This window comes from Homo sapiens, chromosome 13, assembly GCF_000001405.40.
Source record: "Homo sapiens chromosome 13, GRCh38.p14 Primary Assembly".
NCBI lineage: Eukaryota > Metazoa > Chordata > Mammalia > Primates > Hominidae > Homo > Homo sapiens.
In genome coordinates this window covers 69792778-69814212 of record NC_000013.11, presented here as the reverse complement: position 1 = coordinate 69814212, position 21435 = coordinate 69792778, and the positions used below count along the sequence as shown (strand labels likewise).

The window sequence follows — 21435 nt, the reverse complement described above, 5'->3', positions numbered from 1 at the left end:
TGCAGTTTCATTTTTCTGCGTATGGTAAGCCTGTGTTCCCGAAACCATTTATTGATTAGGGTATTCTTTCCCTATTGTTTTTTTAGTTGTCATTGTCAAAGATCAGCTGGCTGTAGATGTGTGGTTTTATTTCAGGGGTCTCTATTCTTTTCCATTTGTCTGTGTGTTTATATTTTACTAGTGCCATGCTGTTTTGGTTACTGTAGCCTTATAGTATAATTTGAAGTCAGGTAATGTGATGCCTCCAACTTTATTCTTTTTGCTTAGGATTTCTTTGGATTCTAGGACTCTTTTTTGGTTCCATATGAATTTTAGAAAAGTTCTTCTAAGTCTGTGAAAAACAACATTGGAAATTTGATAGGAATAGAGTTAAATCTGTAGATTGCTTTGAGCAGTATGGACATTTTAATGATATTGATTCTTCCAGTCCATGAGCATGGAATGTTTTTACATTTGTTTGTGTCATCCATGATTTCTTTCAGCAGTGCTTTGTAGTTCTTGTAGATATCTTTCATCTCCTTGGTTATATTTATTCCCAGGTATTTTATTTTTTTGTGGATATTGTAAATGAGATGGGATTCTTGATTCGGTTCTCACCTTGAACATTATTTGTATATAGAAATGCCACTTATTCTTGTACATTGATTCTGCATCCTGAAATTTTGCCACAGTTGTTTATCAAGTCTAGGGTCTTTATATATATATATATGTGTGTGTGTGTGTGTGTGTGTATGTGTGTGTATATATGTGTGTATTTTTTTATATGTGCACAACATGCAGGTGTGTTACATATGTATACATGTGTCATGTTGGTGTGCTGTACCCATTAACTCGTTATTTACATTAGGTGTATCTCCTAATGCTATCCCTCCCCTCTCCCCCCACCCCACAACAGGCCCCGGTGTGTGATGTTCCCCTTCCTGTGTCCAAGTGTTCTCATTGTTCAATTCCCACCTATGAGTGAGAACATGCGGTGTTTGTTTTTTTGTCCTTGCGATAGTTTGCTGAGAATGATGGTTTCCAGCTTCATCCATGTCCCTACAAAGGACATGAACTCATCATTTTTCATGGCTGCATAGTATTCCATGGTGTATATGTGCCACATTTTCTTAATCCAGTCTATCATTGATGAACATTTGGGTTGGTTCCGAGTCTTTGCTATTGTGAATAGTGCCACAATAAACATATGTGTGCATGTATCTTTATAGCAGCATGATTTATAATCCTTTGGGTATATACCCAGTAATGGGATGGCTGGGTCAAATGGTATTTCTAGTTCTAGATCCCTGAGGAATTGCCACACTGTCTTCCACAATGGTTGAACTAGTTTACAGTCCCACCAACAGTGTAAAAGTGTTCCTATTTCTCCACATCCTCTCCAGCACCTGTTGTTTCCTGACTTTTTAATGATTGCCATTCTAACTAACTGGTGTGAGATGGTATCTCATTGTGGTTTTGATTTGCATTTCTCTGATGGCCAGTGATGATGAGCATTTTTTCATGTGTTTTTTGGCTGCATAAATGTCTTCTTTTCAGAAATGCCTGTTCATATCATTTGCCCACTTTTTGATGGGGTTGTTTGTTTTTTTCTTGTAAATTTGAGTTCATTGTAGATTCTGGATATTAGCCCTTTGTCAGATGAGTAGATTGCAAACATTTTCTCCCATTCTGTAGGTTGCTGTTCACTCTGATGGTAGTTTCTTTTGCTGTGCAGAAGCTCTTTAGTTTAATTAGATCCCATTTGTCAATTTTGGCTTTTGTTGCCATTGCTTTTGGTGTTTTAGACATGAAGTCCTTGCCTATGCCTATGTTCTGAATGGTATTCCCTAGGTTTTCTTCTAGGATTTTTATGGTTTCAGGTCTAACATTTAAGTCTTTAATCCATCTTGAATTAATTTTTGTATAAGGTGTAAGGAAGTAAAATAACAGAAATTATAACAAACTGTCTCTCAGACCACAGTGCAATCAAATTAGAACTCAGGATTAAGAAACTCACTCAGAACCGCTCAATTGCATGGAAACTGAACAACCTGCTACTGAATGACTACTGGGTACATAACGAAATGAAGGCAGAAATAAAGATGTTCTTTAAAACCAACGAGAACAAAGACACAACATACCAGAATCTCTGGGACACATTTAAAGCAGTGTGTAGAGGGAAATTTATAGCACTAAACGCCCACAAGAGAAAGCAGGAAAGATCTAAGATTGACACCCTAACATCACAATTAAAAGAACTAGAGAAGCAAGAGCAAACACATTCAAAAGCTAGCAGAAGGCAAGAAATAACTAAGATCAGAGCAGAACTGAAGGAGATAGAGACACAAAAAACCCTTCAAAAAATCAATGAATCCAGGAGCTGGTTTTTTGAAAACATCAACAAAACTGATGGACTGCTAGCAAGACTAATAAAGAAGAAAAGAGAGAAGAATCAAATAGACTCAATAAAAAATGATAAGTCTAGGGTCTTTTGATAGAATCTTTGTGGTTTTCTAAGCATAGAATCATATAATCAGTGAAGAGAGATAACATGACTTTTTTTTCCTACTTGGATGTCTTTTATTTCTGTAACTTGCCTAACTGCTCTAGCCAGGACTTCCAGTATTGTGTTGAATAGAGGATTTATAGTGAACATCCTTGTCTTGTTCCAGGTTTTAGGAAGAATGCTTTAAGCTTCTGCATATTCAGTATGGTGTTGACTGTGTGTTTGTCTCAGATGGCTCTTATTATTTTGAGATATATTCCTTCAATGTGTAGTTTGTTTAGGATTGTTATCAGGAAGGGATGTTGAATTTTATCTAATGCTTTTTTTTTTTATCTATTACGTTGACCATATGGTTATTGGTTTTAATTCTGTTTATGTGGTGAATCACATTTATTGATAAGCATGTGTTAAATTATCCTTGTATCCCAGCAATAAAACCTACTTAATTGTGATGAATTAACTTTTGGGTCTGGTGCTGGATTCAGATTTGCTAGCATTTTGTTGAGGATTTTTGTTTCTATGCTCATCAGGTGTATTAGCCTGTAGTTTCGTTGTTGTTACTGTTGTGTCTTTACCAGATTTTGCTATCAGGATGACATGGGTTTCCCAAAATGAGTTAGGGAGGAGGCCCCCCTCCTTGATTTTTTGGAATTGTTTCAGTAAGATTGGTACAAGCTCTTCTTTGTATGTCTGATAGAATTCTGCTGTGAATCCATCTGGTATAGGGCTTTTTTTATTTGATAGGTTTCTTAATGCTGATTCAGTTTCCTTACTTATTAGTCTGTTCTGGATTAATGTTTCTTCCTAGCTCAGTCTTGGGAGGTAGTGTTTCCATGAATTTATCTGTTTCTTACAGATTTTCTTGTTTGTGTGCATAGAGGTGTTCATAGCACTCTCTGAGGAGCCTTTGTATTCATATGGAATTGGCTGTGATGTCAACTTTGTCATTTCTGACTGTGTTTGATTGGATCTTCTCTCTTTTTTTTTGTTAACCAACTTTTAGTTTCATTGATTCTTTGTACAGTTCAATTTCATTTAGTTGTTTTCTGATTTTATTTATTTTAATCTGCTAGCTTTGTTTAGTTTGTTCTTGTTTTTCTAGTTCCTTTGGATGTTCGGTTAGGTTGCTAATTTGAGATATTTCTATCTTCTCGATGTAGATGTTCAGCACTATAAACTTTGTTGTTAACCTTGCTTTTGCCGCACCTCAGAGGTTGTGGAATGTTGTCTCTATTTTCATTTGTTTTTTAAAAAATTAATTTCTACCCTAATTTTGTTTTTTAACCAAAAGTCATTCAGGGGCAAGTTGTTTAATATACATGTATTCGTATGGTTTGAGAACTTTCCCAGTGTTTATGTCTGTTTTTATTCCACTGTGATCCAAGGAGATGCTTCATATAATTAAAATTTGTTTTTAATTTATCAATACTTGCTTTATGGCTAAGCATGTGTAAATTTTAGCATATGTTTCATATGAAGACAAGAGGAATATATATTCTGTGGCTGTTGGGTAGAGTATTCTGTAAATGTTTATTAAGTCCAATTGTTCAAGTGCTGAATTTAAGTCCAGAATTTCTTCGTTAGTTTTCTGCCTCAACAATCTGTCTAATGCTGTCAGTAAGGTGTTGCAGTCTGCCACTATTACTTTGTGGCTGTCAAAGTCTTTTCTTAGGTCTAGAATTGTTTTATAAATCTGGATACTTTAATGTTGGGGGCATATATATTTAGAATAGTTGAGTCTTCTCCTTAAATTGAACCCTTTATCATTATCTAATGCCCTTCATTTTCCTGTTTTCTGTTGTTAAACTCTATTTTATCTGATAAACGAATAGTGATCCTGCTTTTTTTTTTTCCATTTGCATAGTACACCTTTCTTTATCTCTTTACTTTGAACCTATGGCTCTCATTACACATCAGATGGGTCTCTGGAAGACAGTGGAAGGATGGGTCTTGTTATTTGTTTTTTTAATCCAATTTACCTCTCTATGTCTTTTAAATCGAGTGTTTAGACTGTTTATATTCAATGTTGATATTGATATTTGAGATTTTATCCCTGTCATGTTGTTAGCTAGTTGCTTTGTAGTCTCAGTTGTGTAGTTGCTTTATAGGGTCTATGGGCTGTGTGCTTTTGTGATAGCAAGTATAATCCTTTCATTTCCATGTCTAAAATTCCCTTAAGCATCTCTCATAGAGCCGATCTGGTGCTGATTAATTCTCTTATTGATTGCTTGACTGGGGAAGACTTTATCTCTCCTTTATTTATGAAGCTTTGTTTGGGAGAATATGAAATTCTTGGCTGGCATTTCTTTGCTTTAAGAATGCTAAAAATGGGCCCTCAATATCTTTTGGCTTGTAAGATTCCTGCTGAGAAATATGTTGTTAGTCTGCCAGGTTTCCCTTTGTAGGTAATATGACCCTTTTTCTTAGTTGCCTTCAATATTTTTTTCTTTTGCATTGACCTTGCATAGTCTGATGACTGTGTGCCTTGGGACTTATAGTCTTAGTATCTCGCAGGAGTTCTCTGGATTTCTTGCATTTACATGTCTACCTCTTCAGGAAGATTGCGGAAATATTTCCGAGTTATATCCTCAAATATGTCTTCCAAGTTGCTTGCTTCCTCTTCTCTCCCAGGTACGCTAATATCATAGATTTTGTTGTTTTACATGATCCCATATTTCTTGAAGGATTTGGTCATGTTTTGAAATTCTTTTACTTTATTTTTTTCTGACTAGGTAGATTTAAAGGATTAGTCTTTGATCTCTGAAATTCTTTTTTCTGCTTGGTCTAGTCTGCTGTTAAGGCTTCCAATTGTATTTTGAAATTTTTGTAGTAAACTTTTTAATTGCAGAAAATCTGTTTGGTTCTTTCCAATACAACTATGTCATCTTTTAAATTTTGAATTATTTTCTAGCTTCTTTGTGTTGAATTTCAACTTTCTCTCAGATCTTATTGAGTTTTTTTGCTATCCATATTCTTAATTCTATATCTGTCATTACAGACATTTCATTCTGGTTAGGATCCATTGCTTGGAAGCTACTGAAATCCTCTGGAGGTGACAAAACACTGGCTTTTTGTATTGCTGGAGTTTTTGTGCTGGTTGTTTCTCTTCTGAGAGCTGACACTTTGTATTTCTTTTTTAATTTGCTATCATTTGGATGTGACTTCTTGATTTTTTTATTCTGTTTTTTTTACCTTGGGGATATGACTGTGGCGTATATGGTGTTTCATTTATTGACTTCATTTCTGGGTGCTTTCAGAGTGCCAGGCCTCTGTAGGGGTTCCTTAGTTGCAGAAAGGTTTGTGTAGTGGCTTTCTAAGATGTTGTTGGTTGTAGTAATGTAATTTTGTCTGGTGATGTAATTCAGGCTGCAGTCTACTAGGTGGTCCTTAAGAGTAAGAGACAGTAGGTAGTGGTGGGAACAGAAGCAACAGAGAAGGAAGAAAAGCACCCTCCCTCAGGGTATGTTTGCCTGTAGTCATGGCAGAGCTGCTAAAGAAGCCCAAGAAACAGTCTCTTTCAACCCACACTTCCTGGGCCCAGTGGGAAGAGCCACTGCTGAGTCTGCAGCAGTTTAGTGAGGTGGGGTGTGGGGGGAAAGAGGTGACCCGCTTTCCATATCCATTCCTGGGCTTCAGTGGTGTTGCCTTCAGTAGCTGGTGTTATACTTGCATTTTCATTAACTTATGGTGGACTTTGAGTGGCTGCACTCTATCCTCCCTTAGGGACAATCCACACAAAGGTTTAGATCTCCAGGAGAGTGACATCTGCCTCCTTCTTATTCTTCAGAGCTAAGGAGCACTGTCCCCCAAGTGACCAAAAGAGCAGCCTGGGGCACCCAGCAATGACCCACACAGACAGGTTTCAGTTTCCAAAGCTACCCTGGCTGCAGTCTTGCCATCTGCAAGAAACCTCAGCTTCAGCAACACTCCTCGCACTCCAGTCCTGTAATGGGAGAGAGTCTAATTCCAGTGCCAGCTGCTGGGCACTCTCCACACACACCACTCATTGGAGCTCTGGAAGTCCTTCTCCCCATTCCAGAGCAAGCTCTCCAGTCTCTTTAGTCTTGAGAATAAAATGCCTGCCATTGCCACCAGTCACCAAACAACATCTCTAAACACTCAGAATGGTGCCGGGTGTGGGATTATAATTGGAGAGAGTGGGGCCCCTCTCAGGTGAACTACATGGGGAGTGTGGTTTGCTCATGTCTCAGTCTAACAACAGCAGTCTAGTAGGTGGTCCTGAAGAGTAAGAGGCAATAGGTAGCAGTGGGAGCAGAAGCAACAGAGAAGGGAGAAAAGTACCCTCCCGGCAGAGCAGTGGGTATTGTGCTAGACATACCTAGGATGGCCTTATTTCCCTGTCCCTTCTTGGCTAGGCAGCAGCTGCTGCCATATCATCCCAAGCTCAGGCCAAGGGTGGGCTTGGTCCAGCATTAAACTCTCAAAATAGTATCTTGAGCCTGGAGAGGGTAGGGCACCATCCAACCAAGCAGTGTCAACAAGAAGCCATGGGGAGTGCAGTCCAATTACAACTGGATCTCACATCAGCTCCTTGCAGAGCAGTGAGTATTGTCCTAGATATGCATGGGATGACATGGTTTCTCTGTCAGTCCTTGATCAGGTGACAGTTGCACTCATGTCAGCCTGAACTCAGGCCAAAGGCAAAACTCGGCCCAGTATTAAACTCCCAAAAATGACATCTTGGGCCTGGAACTAGACAGGGTCAGAGCACCACCAAGGCATGTAGTGTGAACAAGAAGCTGTGGAGTGTATGGTCCACTTGTGTCTTAATCTGATCAGCAACTTGTAGCAGAGTGGCAAGTACCCTACCAGAGGTTGCGTGGGTGTGCTTATTCTCCCCTGTTCCTCCTTGGATCATTGCAAGTGGCTATAGCCATTCCTGTAGGTCCCCAGTATCTGCACTCTCAAAATGGCTTCCCACTGAGGTTACTCCAGGCTCAAATGCCTCTGAGTTTCTGTGTGGGTTGCCTTTCTGGAGCAACATTTCTGAGAATCTTTAGGCAGCTCCATGTATCAGACATGAGGCCCTAGTGGTTGGTCAAGGGTTTCTCCCATGGCCCAGATTGTTAAAGCTGATTTCTGAGCTCTGTGGGTTTCTATCTTATTGTTTCCCCACGTCCAGGGTCTCAGTTGGTTTCCAGCTGTCAGTCTGTTCCCAGCTGGGTAAGCTGCCTGGAACACTATCTTTACTTACTTCTGGCACTTCCCATCTCTTCTCTGATGAATCCAAGTGTTCTCTCCTAGATGACCTGTACAGTGTGAGTATGTACTTATTACTCTGGTTTGTCTCTGTGGAGGAGGTACATGCTACTTGGGTCTAGTCAGCCATCTTGATCTGTAGTTCTCTTAAGGTTTTATTAGACTGTGACTATTATCCTGGAAGGTAACTTAAACTATGTCTTGGTTAATATATGTGGACCCAGAGAACAGAAGCAAACATTTATCAAGTTGTGGCCATGTGAACTGTGCTTGAGTAATCAATTCATCTGAAATTCATTCTGGTATAAGGAGTAAGACAGGAATCAAGATTTACTTATTTTTCTCAAAAGAATAACAAATTATCTTAGATTTTTATATAATAAGATGTTTTCCATTGATGCGTATAACCACTCTTATTACATTAAAAATACTCATATGTATTAGGGTTATTTCTGGCTTTCTTTCAGATTCATTAATGTAGCTATTCTTCATCAGTAATTTTGTTTAAAGAAAACGCTATAGTTATATACTTTTTAATATCTGATAGGGTTTTTTCCCCTTGAGCAGCCTATTAGAAATTGTCTGGTTTTAAATAATTTACTTCCTAGTATTGTACAGTTAAGTTTCCAAAGAAATGCCAGTATAATTTTATAAATTCCTTGTACAAATATCATTATTAATATATTAAATGTTATATAATAAATTATGAAATAAGTAATATCATTCAGAATCAGTGTAGTTTTGTTTTTTCTTTTCTTCCATTCATTCAACAAATATCTCTCAACAGAATTGTAGTGTTGTTTTGTTTTTTTTTTTGTTTTTTTTCATCTAGAGCTGGTACTGACCTTGCTAATTTTATTTTTAGATTGTTTGCTCTTAATGGTGCTACCTTAAATAGGTTATTATCTTCTTTCCACTATCTAAATGGTTTTAATTTTTATTTAAATATTGTATTGACTTGTATTCTGCTTTTCTGATTTACCTACTTCCAGAAGTGTTTTATTTTTTCTAAGATTTTAAAGGTAAAAATTTTTAGTTATTAAGGTGAACTATTACATGTAATACATACAATAGAAATGTGTTCTATATTCTTTGTTTCCTTGGTTATGAGCCAAGAAGTAGACTTCTTTTTGTACTTCCTCATTTCAATGAGATTAGTTTAATAGCAAGCAAAATGCTGGATTTTCAAAATTTATAGATCTACTTCAACATCTAGCATTAAGTTTAATGGTAAACTTAAATGTATATGTCTATACATAGCTACATATCACTCTATTAATATTTTATCAGGGATTGATATGGAATATTTTGGTTGCTTATTTGGCACATTTGGAATTATAATGATTTAGAAATGTTTTCAAAGCCACTTTTATATAACAAATTACTTAAAAAAATAAAGACTTTTATTTGTGCTGGAAAAATATTTCTCCTGCAATGATACCTTTTATATAAGTATAAAAATGTTATACTAAAACTTTATTTTTCAGAGAAATATGAATACATGAAAGTCAATGAAATGCTTACACTATAAAACATTGAAAAAATAAGTAATTCTTTATAATGATGTTTTTTAAAGCTTGAAGTCTTATGTGTTATGGATCATAAAAAATTTTTTGATTTTAAACTATTCCAAAATGCATCTCACTATTTCCTGCTTTTTAAAAGACAATACATCAAACATAACAACTTTTTCCTAATGATTTGATGGCATCAAGGTCACCAAAGTGTTAGGCCAAGCTGTCCTTTAGGTATTATATAATATGGATTTTATCGTTTGTTGCTGTTGTTTAATAACCATAAGTGATTGTTCTATTTAAGTCGATGCATTCTTTTTTCCTGGTTATTTTCTCACTGCCACCCATTGCTGCTTTAAATTATCCTAAATCATTCTACTTTGTGAGTTTGTAAAATGGCTTGGAAGTCCAGTTATTAATATTGCATTAAAATTGCAGTAAAAAGTCATTGTGAGAACAGGTAAAGATCTCTCTGGTGAGTTGAATAAGAGAGCTTTATTTTCTTTTTAGGAGCTTTTTTGTGACATCTCTTTTGTCAGTTGAGAAAACTTTTTATCACTGAATTCTGTGCTGTATGCAAGATAAGTGAGGTTGCTATTTGCTTGAATTATAGATGTAGGAACAAATTCTGCTGTCTGTATTGCCAAACTAGAGTGTACAAACATTAATTACTATTTCCCCCCCCCACAAAAAAATTATATTTGTCTACATAAGTGAATATCTCCTGAGAGACCTAGAACTGCACTTTGGATAACATCCTGACCATTTTTTCTCAGTTTTATATTTTGAGAAAGGAGTCTACCGTTCGTTTTGTCATGAGGAAAGTAGTTTTGTATTTGTATTATATATAATATCTTCTGGTTAAATTATTGAACTTGAAAAACCAATACTTTATAAATTGTAAAAATGCACATTTGAAAGAACTATACTGTACTGCTGCTGTAACAAATTACCACAGAAAAAGTGGCTTAAAACAACTGCCATCTATTACCTCAGAGTTCTGTAGGTTCAAAGCCTGGGGTGGCATGTCTGAATTCTCTGCTCAAGATCACACAAGGCTGAAATCAAGGTGTTAGCTAGGCTATATTCTTATCTGGAACTTTTCCAAATTTATTTTGATTGTTGACAAAATGTATTCCTTGTGGTTGTAGAACTGAGGTACTGTTTTCTTGCTGGTTGTCAGGTCAGAATCATTCTCAGCTTCTAGAGACCACTTGCATTCCTTCTTATATGACCCATCTTCAAGCCAGGAACAGTAAGTCAAGTCCTGCTCATGCTTCAAACTCTCTGATTTTCCCTTCTACCACTAACTGGAGAAAGCTCTCCTTCCCCATCTACCACTAGCCTGAAGAAAATCTCTCACTTTCAGGGGATCACGTCATCAAGGCCAGCGAGATATTATTCCTATTTTAAAGTCAACAATGCTATATAGCGTAGCCGTTCATGGACTGATATTTCAACATATGCACAGGTTCTGGAAAATAGGTCATGTAATCTCAGGAAGGGAAATTTTTTAAATTCTACCCACTGCATATATTAATTGCAATTAACTCTTTTTACATCTGGGATGAAGTCATAAAAAGAAGTGTTTCTCAGAGTGGGCTCTAGAGCCAGGTTAATATTGTGGATGTACCAGGTGTTAACTGAGAGATGCTGTGCAAGTAATTAAAGTTTTCTGTAATTTGTTTTTATTATGTAAAATTGACACAATAATAATATGTATTTCATCAGGCTTTTATAAAATGAAATGTAGTAATGTAGGTAAAGCTCTTAGAGCAAAGGAAATATTCACAATATTATTTATTAATATCTTATTTAAAACTCCCTACACAAAACACCTTTACTCAATATTTATTTAAGAATAATATTTCAATTAAAATATCCCTAAAGTGTCAAGTAGCTCTTAATAATATACATATCATGAATTCTCTTGGTTATATGAATACTTCTGTTTAAGGCTGGTCGAGAGAAGCAGTGGGAATGGAGAATGAACAAAGAAATCTGTAATTGGTTATGATTGATTAGTTGTAAATGCAATGGCACTCAGACCAGCCTTATAAATACTTTTTATAGAAAATAATCAATGGACATTGTAGGAACCCAGAAATGTAGCAGGACAAGCCACAGACAAAACCCCTCAGACACCGAGTTAAAGAAGGAAGCGGTTTATTCAGCCGGGAGCATCGGCAAGACTCCTGTCTCAAGAGCCGAGCTCCCTGACTGAGCAATTCCTGTCCTTTTTAAGGGCTCACAACTCTATGGGGGTGCACGTGAGAGGGTCGTGATCGATTGAGCAAGCAGGGGGTACGGGACTGGGGGGCTGCATGCACCGGTAATTAGATTGGAACAAAACAGAACAGGGATTTTCACAGTGCTTTTCTGTACAATGTCTGTATTCTATAGATAACATAACTGATTAGGTCAGGGGTCGATCTTTAACTACCAGTCCCAGGGTGTGGCGCCAGGCTGTCTGCTTGTGGATTGCATTTCTGCCTTTTAGTTTTTACTTCTTTTTTCTACGGAGGCAGAAATTGGGCATAAGACAATATGAGGGATGGTCTCCTCCCTTATCCCCCATACTTTGAGAATCTCACTCAATAGTGGGAGTTCTTGGGTATATACTCAAAAGATTATAAATCATTTCACTGTAAAGACACATGGATACGTATGTTTATTGCAGCGCCATTTACAATAGCAAAGACTTGGAACCAACCCAAATACTTACCAATGATAGACTGGATAAAGAAAATGGGGCACATATACACCATGGAATACTATGCAGCCATAAAAAAGAATGAATTTATGTCCTTTGCAGGGACATGGATGAAGCTGGAAACCATCATTCTCAGCAAACTAACACAGGAACAGGAAATCAAACACTGCATGTTCTCACTCATAAGTGGGAGTTGAACAGTGAGAACACATGGACGCAGGGAGGGGAACATCAGACACCAGGGCCTGTCAGGGGGTAGGGGGGCAAGGGGACAAATACTTAATGCATGTGGGACTTAAAACCTAGATGACGGGTTGATAAGTGCAGCAAACCACCATGGCGCATGTATACCTATGTAATAAACCTGCATGTTCTTTCGTGTATCCCAGAACTTAAAGTAAAATTAAAAAATAATAAAAAGAAAATAATCAATGGGCATTGTAGGAATTATTTCTAATAACTCAGTATCAAAATTTGATATTACTACAAATGCTACACACCTATCTCTTAACTAACATATAGTCTATAATAAATTATCAAGTTTATAAAATTGGACATAAATATATCCTATGTTGTCTTATATCAAATAGTCAGAAAAATTTCTATCTAGTATTTCAGATTTTCTATATATGATGAATGAGATTCACCTTTGAATTATGTAACTACATCAGGTTAAGATACTTTACGATTCTTTTAGATTTTATTAAATTATAGTATACCTTTTATAAAATAATATTATTACTGTACAAAAGCTCACACAATGACAACATAATTGCCTACTAAAGCTAATGCAACCTTGACATGTTTGTAATGGCAGCAGTCTTGAGTTTAAGAGAAAAAACAATGTGGATATAACCACTCCTAATAATAGTTCTCTATGGCAGATGTGGCCATGTGCTTGTTTTTATGTACTTAAACATTATTTAAATTATTATATGTTTATTGTTTGGAGATTGCACATTTTAAAAATCTAGATTTCTGCCTCCTCTTAATCAGTCAAAATGCCTGGCAATACTCAGCCAGAATTTCCAATGGCAACAACAAAGTAGTGATTGTTATTTTTCAGTAGAGTGGTCATTCTTCAGTTAACAAAAGTGGTCAGGACTCTGTCATGCCTGCAGTCCCACATTTCATTATATTTTAAATAAATGTATGGGGTATATATGTGCAATTTTGTTACATGCATGGATTACATTGTGGTCCATCGAGGGCTTTAGGTAGTCATCACCCGAATAATGTATATTCTACGCACAGAGTAATTCGACTTCACCTTGTAGGTATTTGAGATACCAGTGATGGCTTCATTAACAGAGTAACCCTAAAATAATTATGTCTTAAAGTAAACTTTCATTTTGAATCCCTTCCAAGTTTATTACATAGCACTGCAGCAGTCCACTCTAACTTGTATTCTGTTTGTAATCTATATTATGATAAATATTGGTTTTTCTCTAAGGGACAACAAAGGCTAAAATTACTCACGACTGACTTTGTCCTTTTCTTCTGACTCAGAAAATACCCAGGGAAATACATACAGTCTTAGAAACAAAAGAAAACAACAGAACTCACAAATTGATAAATTAATAGTAATTATAGAATGAGGTGGCTTAGATAGAAAGCTAATAAAGTACATTGGTGAGGAAATTCCATGAAGGATATTATTATTAATAATTTTCATAAAAAGAAAGCATACCTTAATTTTATTATTCTTAAAAAGAAGACAAAATGTTTACAATACCTGCTGACATTTGAATAAGAAAATCAATTGTATTGGCTAGTATGAGTAAGCTCTACAAACATAAAATATCCTTTTTCATTTTGTATTGCTTAACTTTATATAACTGAGCAAGATTGAAGACTGGAGTATAAATAGGCCTTGGTTTCTGAGGTAAGCTGAATAATGCACCTCCCTCCACCCCGCCCAGAAAAATGTCCATATCCTAAACCCTGGAACCTGTGAATATGTTATGTTACACAGAAAGAGTGGGATAAAGCTTGTGAAGGAATTAAAGTTGTTAAGCAGCTGAATTTAACATAAACAGATTATTCTACATTATGTCTGATTAAACTGGTATGAGCCCATTGTAATCACAAGGGTCAATGTCAGAGAAATGCAATGTTGCTGACTTTGGGGATAGAAGATGGAGTAACAAGGAATGTGGTGGCCTCTAGAATAGCAGTCCCCAACTTTTTGGGCACCAGGGACTAGTTTGGTGGAAGAACATTTTTCCATGGACAGGGGTCGGAGAGTGGGGGTTGGTTTCAGGGTGAAATTGTTCCACCTCAGGTTATCAGGCATTAGATTCTCATATGGTATGATCAACCTAGATCCCTCCCATGCACAGTTCACAATAGGGTTTGCGCTCCTATGAGAATTTAATGCCACGGCTGGTCTGACAGAAGGTGGAGCTCGGGGTGCCGCTCACCTCCTGCTGTGCGTCCTGGTTCCTAACAGACCACGGACCATTACTGGTCCACGTCCTGGAAGTTGGGGACCCTTGTTCTAGAAGATAGAAAAGGCAAGAGAACTGATTTTCTCCTGCAGCCTCCAGAAAGGAACAGAGCCATGGCAGCATTTTGATTTTAGTGCAGAAATAACCATTTCAGATTTCTGACCTCCTGAACTGTAAGATAACAAATCTGTGTTATTTGTCACTAAATTGGAAATATTCTTAACAGTAGCCATAGTAAATTAATATAAATTCTAATTTGAAAAATGAAGATGGAAATGAGCTCCTATTTCTGCTGTAGCTACTAGGATAAGTGAGTAGGTCACTTTTGAAGACTGAAGTTACAGGAAAAACTGTAAAGGTTAAAAATCCTGTCATGTATTGAGATTTAAGACTTATCTAGCTCATTTGAATGAGGCTTTGAAATCCAAATCAATTCCTGACTTTTCCTTTTTGAATTGCAACTCCTTTGCTTGCTCGGAAGTCTTAATTTCACTCATTCCTAACTATTTCCTCTGAGGAGGGTAACTGGACCTCAAATTCCCTGCAAAGATTTTTAGCAAGGCTTTGGAGTCTGTGGGAAGTACAGTTGTTCAAGTACTTTCTTCCTTGTCCACTCATACCAGAAAATATGAGCCTAATGAGATTGTGTTAATTAGGATTAGATTACTTTCTTCTGCCATCATCGGTCAAATATAGTCACAAGAGACAGATATCTGTGTAAACCTTTTTTTTTTTTTCTTTATGCAACTGAGTCTTACTCTGTTGCCAGGCTGGAGTGCAGTGGCACGATCTCAGCTCACTGCAACCTCTGCCTCCCACGTTCAAGGGATTCTCTTGCCTTAGCCTCCTGAGTAGCTGAGACTACAGGCATGAGCCACCATGCCCGGCTATTTTATTTTTATTATTATTTTTTGTATTTTTAGTGGAGATGGGGTTTCGACAGAGTTTGAGGCCAGGCTGGTCTCAGTCTCCTGACCTCAGATGATTCACCTTCCTTGGCCTCACAAAGTGCTGGGATTACAGGTGTGAGCCACACACCAGGCCATCTGTGTATAACTCTTAATTTTTAGTTATGCATTCATGTAATATAAAAGTTATCAAGCTTTGAGAATCCAGATGACTTTGAAGTTATTCAACTATGTAGTTTGCTTTAGAATTTTGATTTGAAGTCAAATGAATAAAACATTCAATATCCAATATAATAAATATATTAAAATATAAAATACATCTGTTTAAAATATTATACATGTTAATAAACAGTATTGAATAACTTTTGTGAACATTGCAATTTATTTTTATCCTAACAATAACAATAATTTCCTAATAGTTCAAAATTAGTTATATATTGGAATGAACCTATAATTTTAGCAATATCAGAAAGCAGATTTGACATATCTAATTATTGCTATTACCTTTAAGTAAAAATTGAGCATAAATTGTATCGTTTTTACTTTAATTAGCAAAACTTCTGTTATGAAAGTGTTTATGTTCATTTAGTTCATTACTAGTTAGGTTCTAAAGAGTAAATGAGTCCCCAGAGGAATATATTCCCTAGATTTGCAAACTTTTATTACAGGTAAAATAGATCATCAGTGCTTAAGTGAAAGTACACAAGAATGTTAATTTGCTTTGTAGAAATGTTTCATGATTGAAGGTATAACATTGGTGAAGGTGAGTCTGAACATGAAGTCAAACACTACATCAAGATCAGTGTCTGTTAGCTTATATTATCTTATAAACATTTGGGAGCTTGTTCTACACAGGCATTTTTAATGAGAATTGGGTAATTAAACCCATTAAAACAAATCTCACCAGTAATTTAGCTGCTTCTTTCAATTTCTATTTTATTAGTCAGAGTTATTGCATTTCTCAAACTTATATGTAAAAAGCTTTTAAGAAATATAAGCTATATTATTTAGAGATTCTAACATGATTGTTCAGGATAGAAGATCATTTTATAAAATTCTATTAAGCTATTCCCCAGATTTTTTTTTTTTTTTTTTAGATGGAGTCTCGCTCTGTCACCCAGGCTGGGGTGCAGTGGCGCGATCTCTGCTCACTGCAAGCGCCGCCTCCCGGGTTCATGCCATTCTCCTGCCTCAGCCTCCTGAGTAGCTGGGACTACAGGCACCTGCCACCATGCCCAGCTAATTTTTTTTTTTTTTTTTGTATTTTTAGTAGAGACGGGGTTTCACCGTTAATTAGCCAGGATGGTCTCGATCTCCTGACCTTGTGATCCGCCCGTCTCGGCCTCCCAAAGTGCTGGGATCACAGGCGTGAGCCATTGCGCCTGGCCTAAGCTCTTCCCCAGATTATTTTTTAAAAGCTGGTTTAAAAAGCATAGCAAATATTTGCTTATATATCTTACAATTGACTTTTAAAACCTTCAGTTATTTAAGGCGTATGACAAATTTAAAGAAAAACATGGTAATATTTTATTGAATTAACTTTCAGAAATTATCCAAATAACATGCATAGCTTAATTATTTAAAAGGGCTTTCATAAATATTTTTCAACCTGGTATTATGCTACATTTTTAAATGACAAAAGTGATAGAGGGAATTTGTAAAATCCACTGACAGAACTGGGTCATGCTCACCAATGTTTCTATAGAATCAATAGTTTAGCATGAGACCATTATGTAATTCGAACAAGGTGAACATTTGTGTCTATTTTGATCATTCATGTCTGCCAAGAAGAGAAAATAAAGTAGTTGAATTACTACTCCTTTTGTTTTTCTGCCACTTTTTCTTTTAAAAAAAATGAATATGACAAGAGTGTTTTCACATCCTAATTTGTACCCTGCTTTGGCAGGCTGTTTGTTGAATTTATAGCAATTGGTGACTTTTTGATTTTATGTTTTATCAGGAGCTACAACTATAGAGAAATATGATCTGAGAACAAATCTGTGGATCCAGGCAGGGATGATGAATGGCAGAAGGCTGCAGTTTGGTGTGGCTGTTATTGATGACAAACTCTTTGTAATTGGAGGTCGAGATGGCTTAAAGACATTGAACACTGTTGAATGTTACAATCCCAAAACCAAGACATGGACTGTCTTACCACCAATGTCAACACACAGACATGGTCTAGGTAAGATCTTACTTTATTGATATTACTTTTAGAAACATGTTATTGATAATGTAACTATATGATAAAATATATTATTGATGTCTGTCTTAGTAAATTTGTGTTGCGATAAAGGAATACCTGAACCTGGGTAATTAACATAGAAAAATTTCTTGGCTCACTATTCTTCTAGCTGGAATATTAGGCCTTTAGTGAAAGTTTCCAAGTTTCCACTCATGACAGAAGGCAAAGGGAGGCCATGCATTCAGAGATCACATGGTTACACAGGAAGCAAGAGAGACAGGAGCAGGTGTCAGGCTCTTTTTAACAACCAGCTCTTGAGGGAACTAATAGAACAAGACCTCATTACCATGAGGACAGCACCAAGCCATTCATGAGGGATCCGCTCCCATGATCCAAACATCTCCCAGTAGGCCCCACCTCTGACACTGGAGATCAAATTTCAACATGAGTTTTGGGGGGACAAACATCCAAACTATGACAATGTCATCAATTATCATTATCTTTAAGTAAATTATGGGCTTATTTGAAGCATATTTTGTATTTAAATTTCTTGACATCTTCCTGTGTTTACTAGTCTTAATTTTAAACCGTTGAGATACATATTAAAGTTCTCTAAAAGAGTAGACTCCAAGCCATCCACAAAGTAGACCTCAAGCTGTCCTCAAAGATCATACGATATGTACAGTTGAATATGGAAAAATGAAGTAACATGGAAAGGCCGAAGTAGTGCAACCCAGAGGGAAAAATAGTTAATGTGGGTTGAGTGAAACTTAAGGTAGTTTCTCTCACATTATTGATTAAGCACATCTATGTCTTTGAACCTAATTGATTCCACCTTGAAAAATCTGTGGGGAAGAGGACAATAAACGTTTAGAGAAAGAGCAACACATTCGCTGGCACCATAAGTCATTATGACAGGGTTTATCTGTTCCCTGCTATGGGGTAACCAGGAACTAGAGAGAACTATACCTGGATTCGGATCTCGATGTGCATCTTGAATTTATCACTTTCTATTTGCATGATTTGGGGCCAGCATTTAAACTGAGCCTTGGTTTTGTGATTTGCCACCAATTCAGGGTTTTTAAGTAGACAAAAATATAATAATTAAAATGACTATGAAATCACTTTGTAAATTGTAAAGTCCTATATACCTATTATAAAGAACAATTTAATAAAGACTAACAGTTCTTGAATTTACACTTTGTCTTATGAGGATTGTAAGGAGAAGTACAAATTACTTTCTTTTAAAGATCTGAAATATGCCAGCAAATTGACTAAGTGCTTCCTTTCCTATATTTAGAACATACATGTTAGACAGATAACAGAGTTTAATTGCAAATCCACAGATTTAGACATTCACAGGTAAGCAAAATTAATACTTGTTCAATGTTCATGTTCCCAGCACTGTATTTTGCATTCATGTCTACTCCACCATCAATCCAAAGTAAAATTTAAAGAAATTAAATATACACAGATTGATGGGGGAAGAGAGAGAAAAGGAAAGAGAGAGAGAAGGAAAGATGACTGACAATGCCCTTGTAGAAGACTGCCTTTGATTTACACGCCAATAAAAGGTTCAGTCAGTTAAAGCCAGGTTGATGGGGGCACAAGATATCTGTGTTCTCCGATGAGGCAGAGTGCTTCCTTTATAATCAGTCTTATTCCTTTATGATCAGTTGAATCATAGGAAATTCGGCATTATGTATCGTACTCAAATACAATAAACATCCTCGGCCTAAGATTGCTGCTCTTCCAATGTAAAGTTTCAGCCTTTGATTTACCTCCTTCCATCTTCCAGGGACTTCCATTGCATAGATGTTGATATTCCTTAATCTATCATATTATTAAGTTTTATTTTATATTTTTGTCTTTATCCTTTCCTGAGAGGTAACTTTAATATTCAGCCTTCTGTATTGTTCTTAATCTGTGTGCATCATGGTATATATTTCATGTATTGATATCTTAATGTCAATTAAATTTGTTTTTTACATTCTTGCTATCCCTACTTGGTAATTCATTATAATTGCTTTCTTCTTCTTAGTGGTTTTCATACTCTCCCTTATCTCTGTTAGGCTACGTACTGTTCCTATTTCAAATTCCTATCTGCTTCTTTAACTCTTTTTTATTGTAGATTCATCTTCCTTCTCTCTCCTTCCCCCAGCTCTTTTTTTTTAATCTCTCTCTCCTCTTTCTCTGTTGTTCATCCTTTTTCTCCTCTTTTTTTTTCTACTGTTTCTTTCCTGCTCTTCTTTCTAATTCCTCTCTCCCACCTTTAAGATGCTCTGTTTCTTTCTCTTTCTCTTCTAATGCTGGTTAATGGTAGTTGCAGCCTCTGAAATACATAATTCTTTTATCTGAGTACTCATGTGGCCAGTATCAGATACTTTGGGTAATTGTATGAAGGGCTAAGGCATATGATACGTTTTTGTGTCTTATCAAAACAATCAGGAGTAGCTGGGGGAATTACAGCTGGGCATGAAGCCCTAAGCCTGTAAGCTGACTTCGCTCAACCTATTTGCTGTTATCTCTAGTATGTAGACCTCAGGGGTTGCATCTATTTACTTCCATTTGCACATAAATCCTCTTAAGATTTTCTTTCTTATCTGTGGATGCCTTAACCTTAGAGCTGGTAGCTTAAATGAGAAGGTAATATTCATGACCAGCAAGTCTGTTTGCTTCTGCTATTCAAAATTCCTCATTCAAGCTGGGCTCTGATGGCATTGTGATGTTAACAATCCAGTTCTGGCAAGTTCTGCACTGACACTGATGTATCATCACTGAGGGATAGGAAACATGCAGTAACTCTTCCTAAGGGAACAATATGGGGTAGTAAAAAAAGAACATATCAAGTTTTCCTCCCAGATATTTTCTCAAGGCAGTGCTCTAAATTTTTATCTCACTCAGAACGTCACAAATGATGTCAGGCTCTCAAATATATATGATTACTCTCTCTTCAGTATAATCGGCAGGATTGGGTTTAAGTGTGAAACCAACAGTTTGTGCTAGTTTTCTACTCGTTCAGAAACTAAAATGTATCATTTTATTTGCCACACCATTAATTTGTATCTATGTGTGGTATGCAGAGGTTTTATAAAATTGAATATATAATAACATATTATACATTCAAGTGAAAAGAAGCTAGAGTCTAAAGTAAAATTTTAAAAATTGAAAAAAATGAAACCTCAAAATGTGTTTTGACTTATCTAGCTTTTTTCCCTTTGATTTATGTAAAAAAAAAACTTACATGATTTTATGAGAAAGTCACATGAGTTCTGTAGTTGCTAAAACTGCGTGGTTTAAAATGTTTCACAGCTATCGAAAAATGATCATTCTGCTGGATAAAGTTACATATAAAAATTATATTCATTTAAATTCTGTGACATCAAGGGAGCAAAGATCTGCCCAGGGAATTAAACAAATTAAGACCACACTTTTCTCAGTATGCTACAAATTTTTATTTTATCACTTAAGTCTTTAAGCATATAATTCTATATATTATCTTTTTTCATAATATTTTATGTCATATAAAATTGAATAAGACATTACTACAATGCACTATTTCAGTTAAGTGTTTTAGGAGAAATTGGTAAAGCATAACAGTGATTATTTATTATGGATTTTTTATGTGCTATGCAACATCTTATATATTAAATATATGGTAGGGGTTGTTTCTGCTTTTAGTTTGGTTTCAATTCAGATATAATTCACATATCATAAAGTTAATTAAATTTTAAAGTACAGAAATCAGTGTGTTTGAATATATTGAGATGAGCAGACATCACCACTAGCAAATTCCAAAACATTTTTGTCATCCTGAAAAGAAATCCTATACCCAATACATTGTCAGTCTTAATAACCCAGTCTTTCCTTAGCAGCAATTAATCTGCTTTTTATCTCTGTGGATTTGCTCATTCTGAATATTTCATGTAAAAATAATTATACAATTTCTGGCCTTTTGTG

General features: G+C 36.0%; 1 protein-coding gene and 1 pseudogene across 4 annotated transcripts in view; one reads left to right on the top strand and one right to left on the bottom strand.

Moving 5' to 3' along the window:
• Positions 1-21435, top strand: part of KLHL1 (kelch like family member 1) — a 407856-nt gene that overhangs the window by 294240 nt on the left and 92181 nt on the right. For all 4 annotated transcript variants that reach the window (NM_001286725.2, NM_020866.3, XM_017020678.3 and 1 more), the window contains one exon: positions 17251-17475. In NM_001286725.2, the coding sequence (NP_001273654.1) occupies positions 17251-17475 (225 nt within the window). The remainder of the gene's footprint in view (positions 1-17250; positions 17476-21435) is intronic.
• RNY3P10 (RNY3 pseudogene 10) lies at positions 11172-11273 on the bottom strand (annotated as a pseudogene).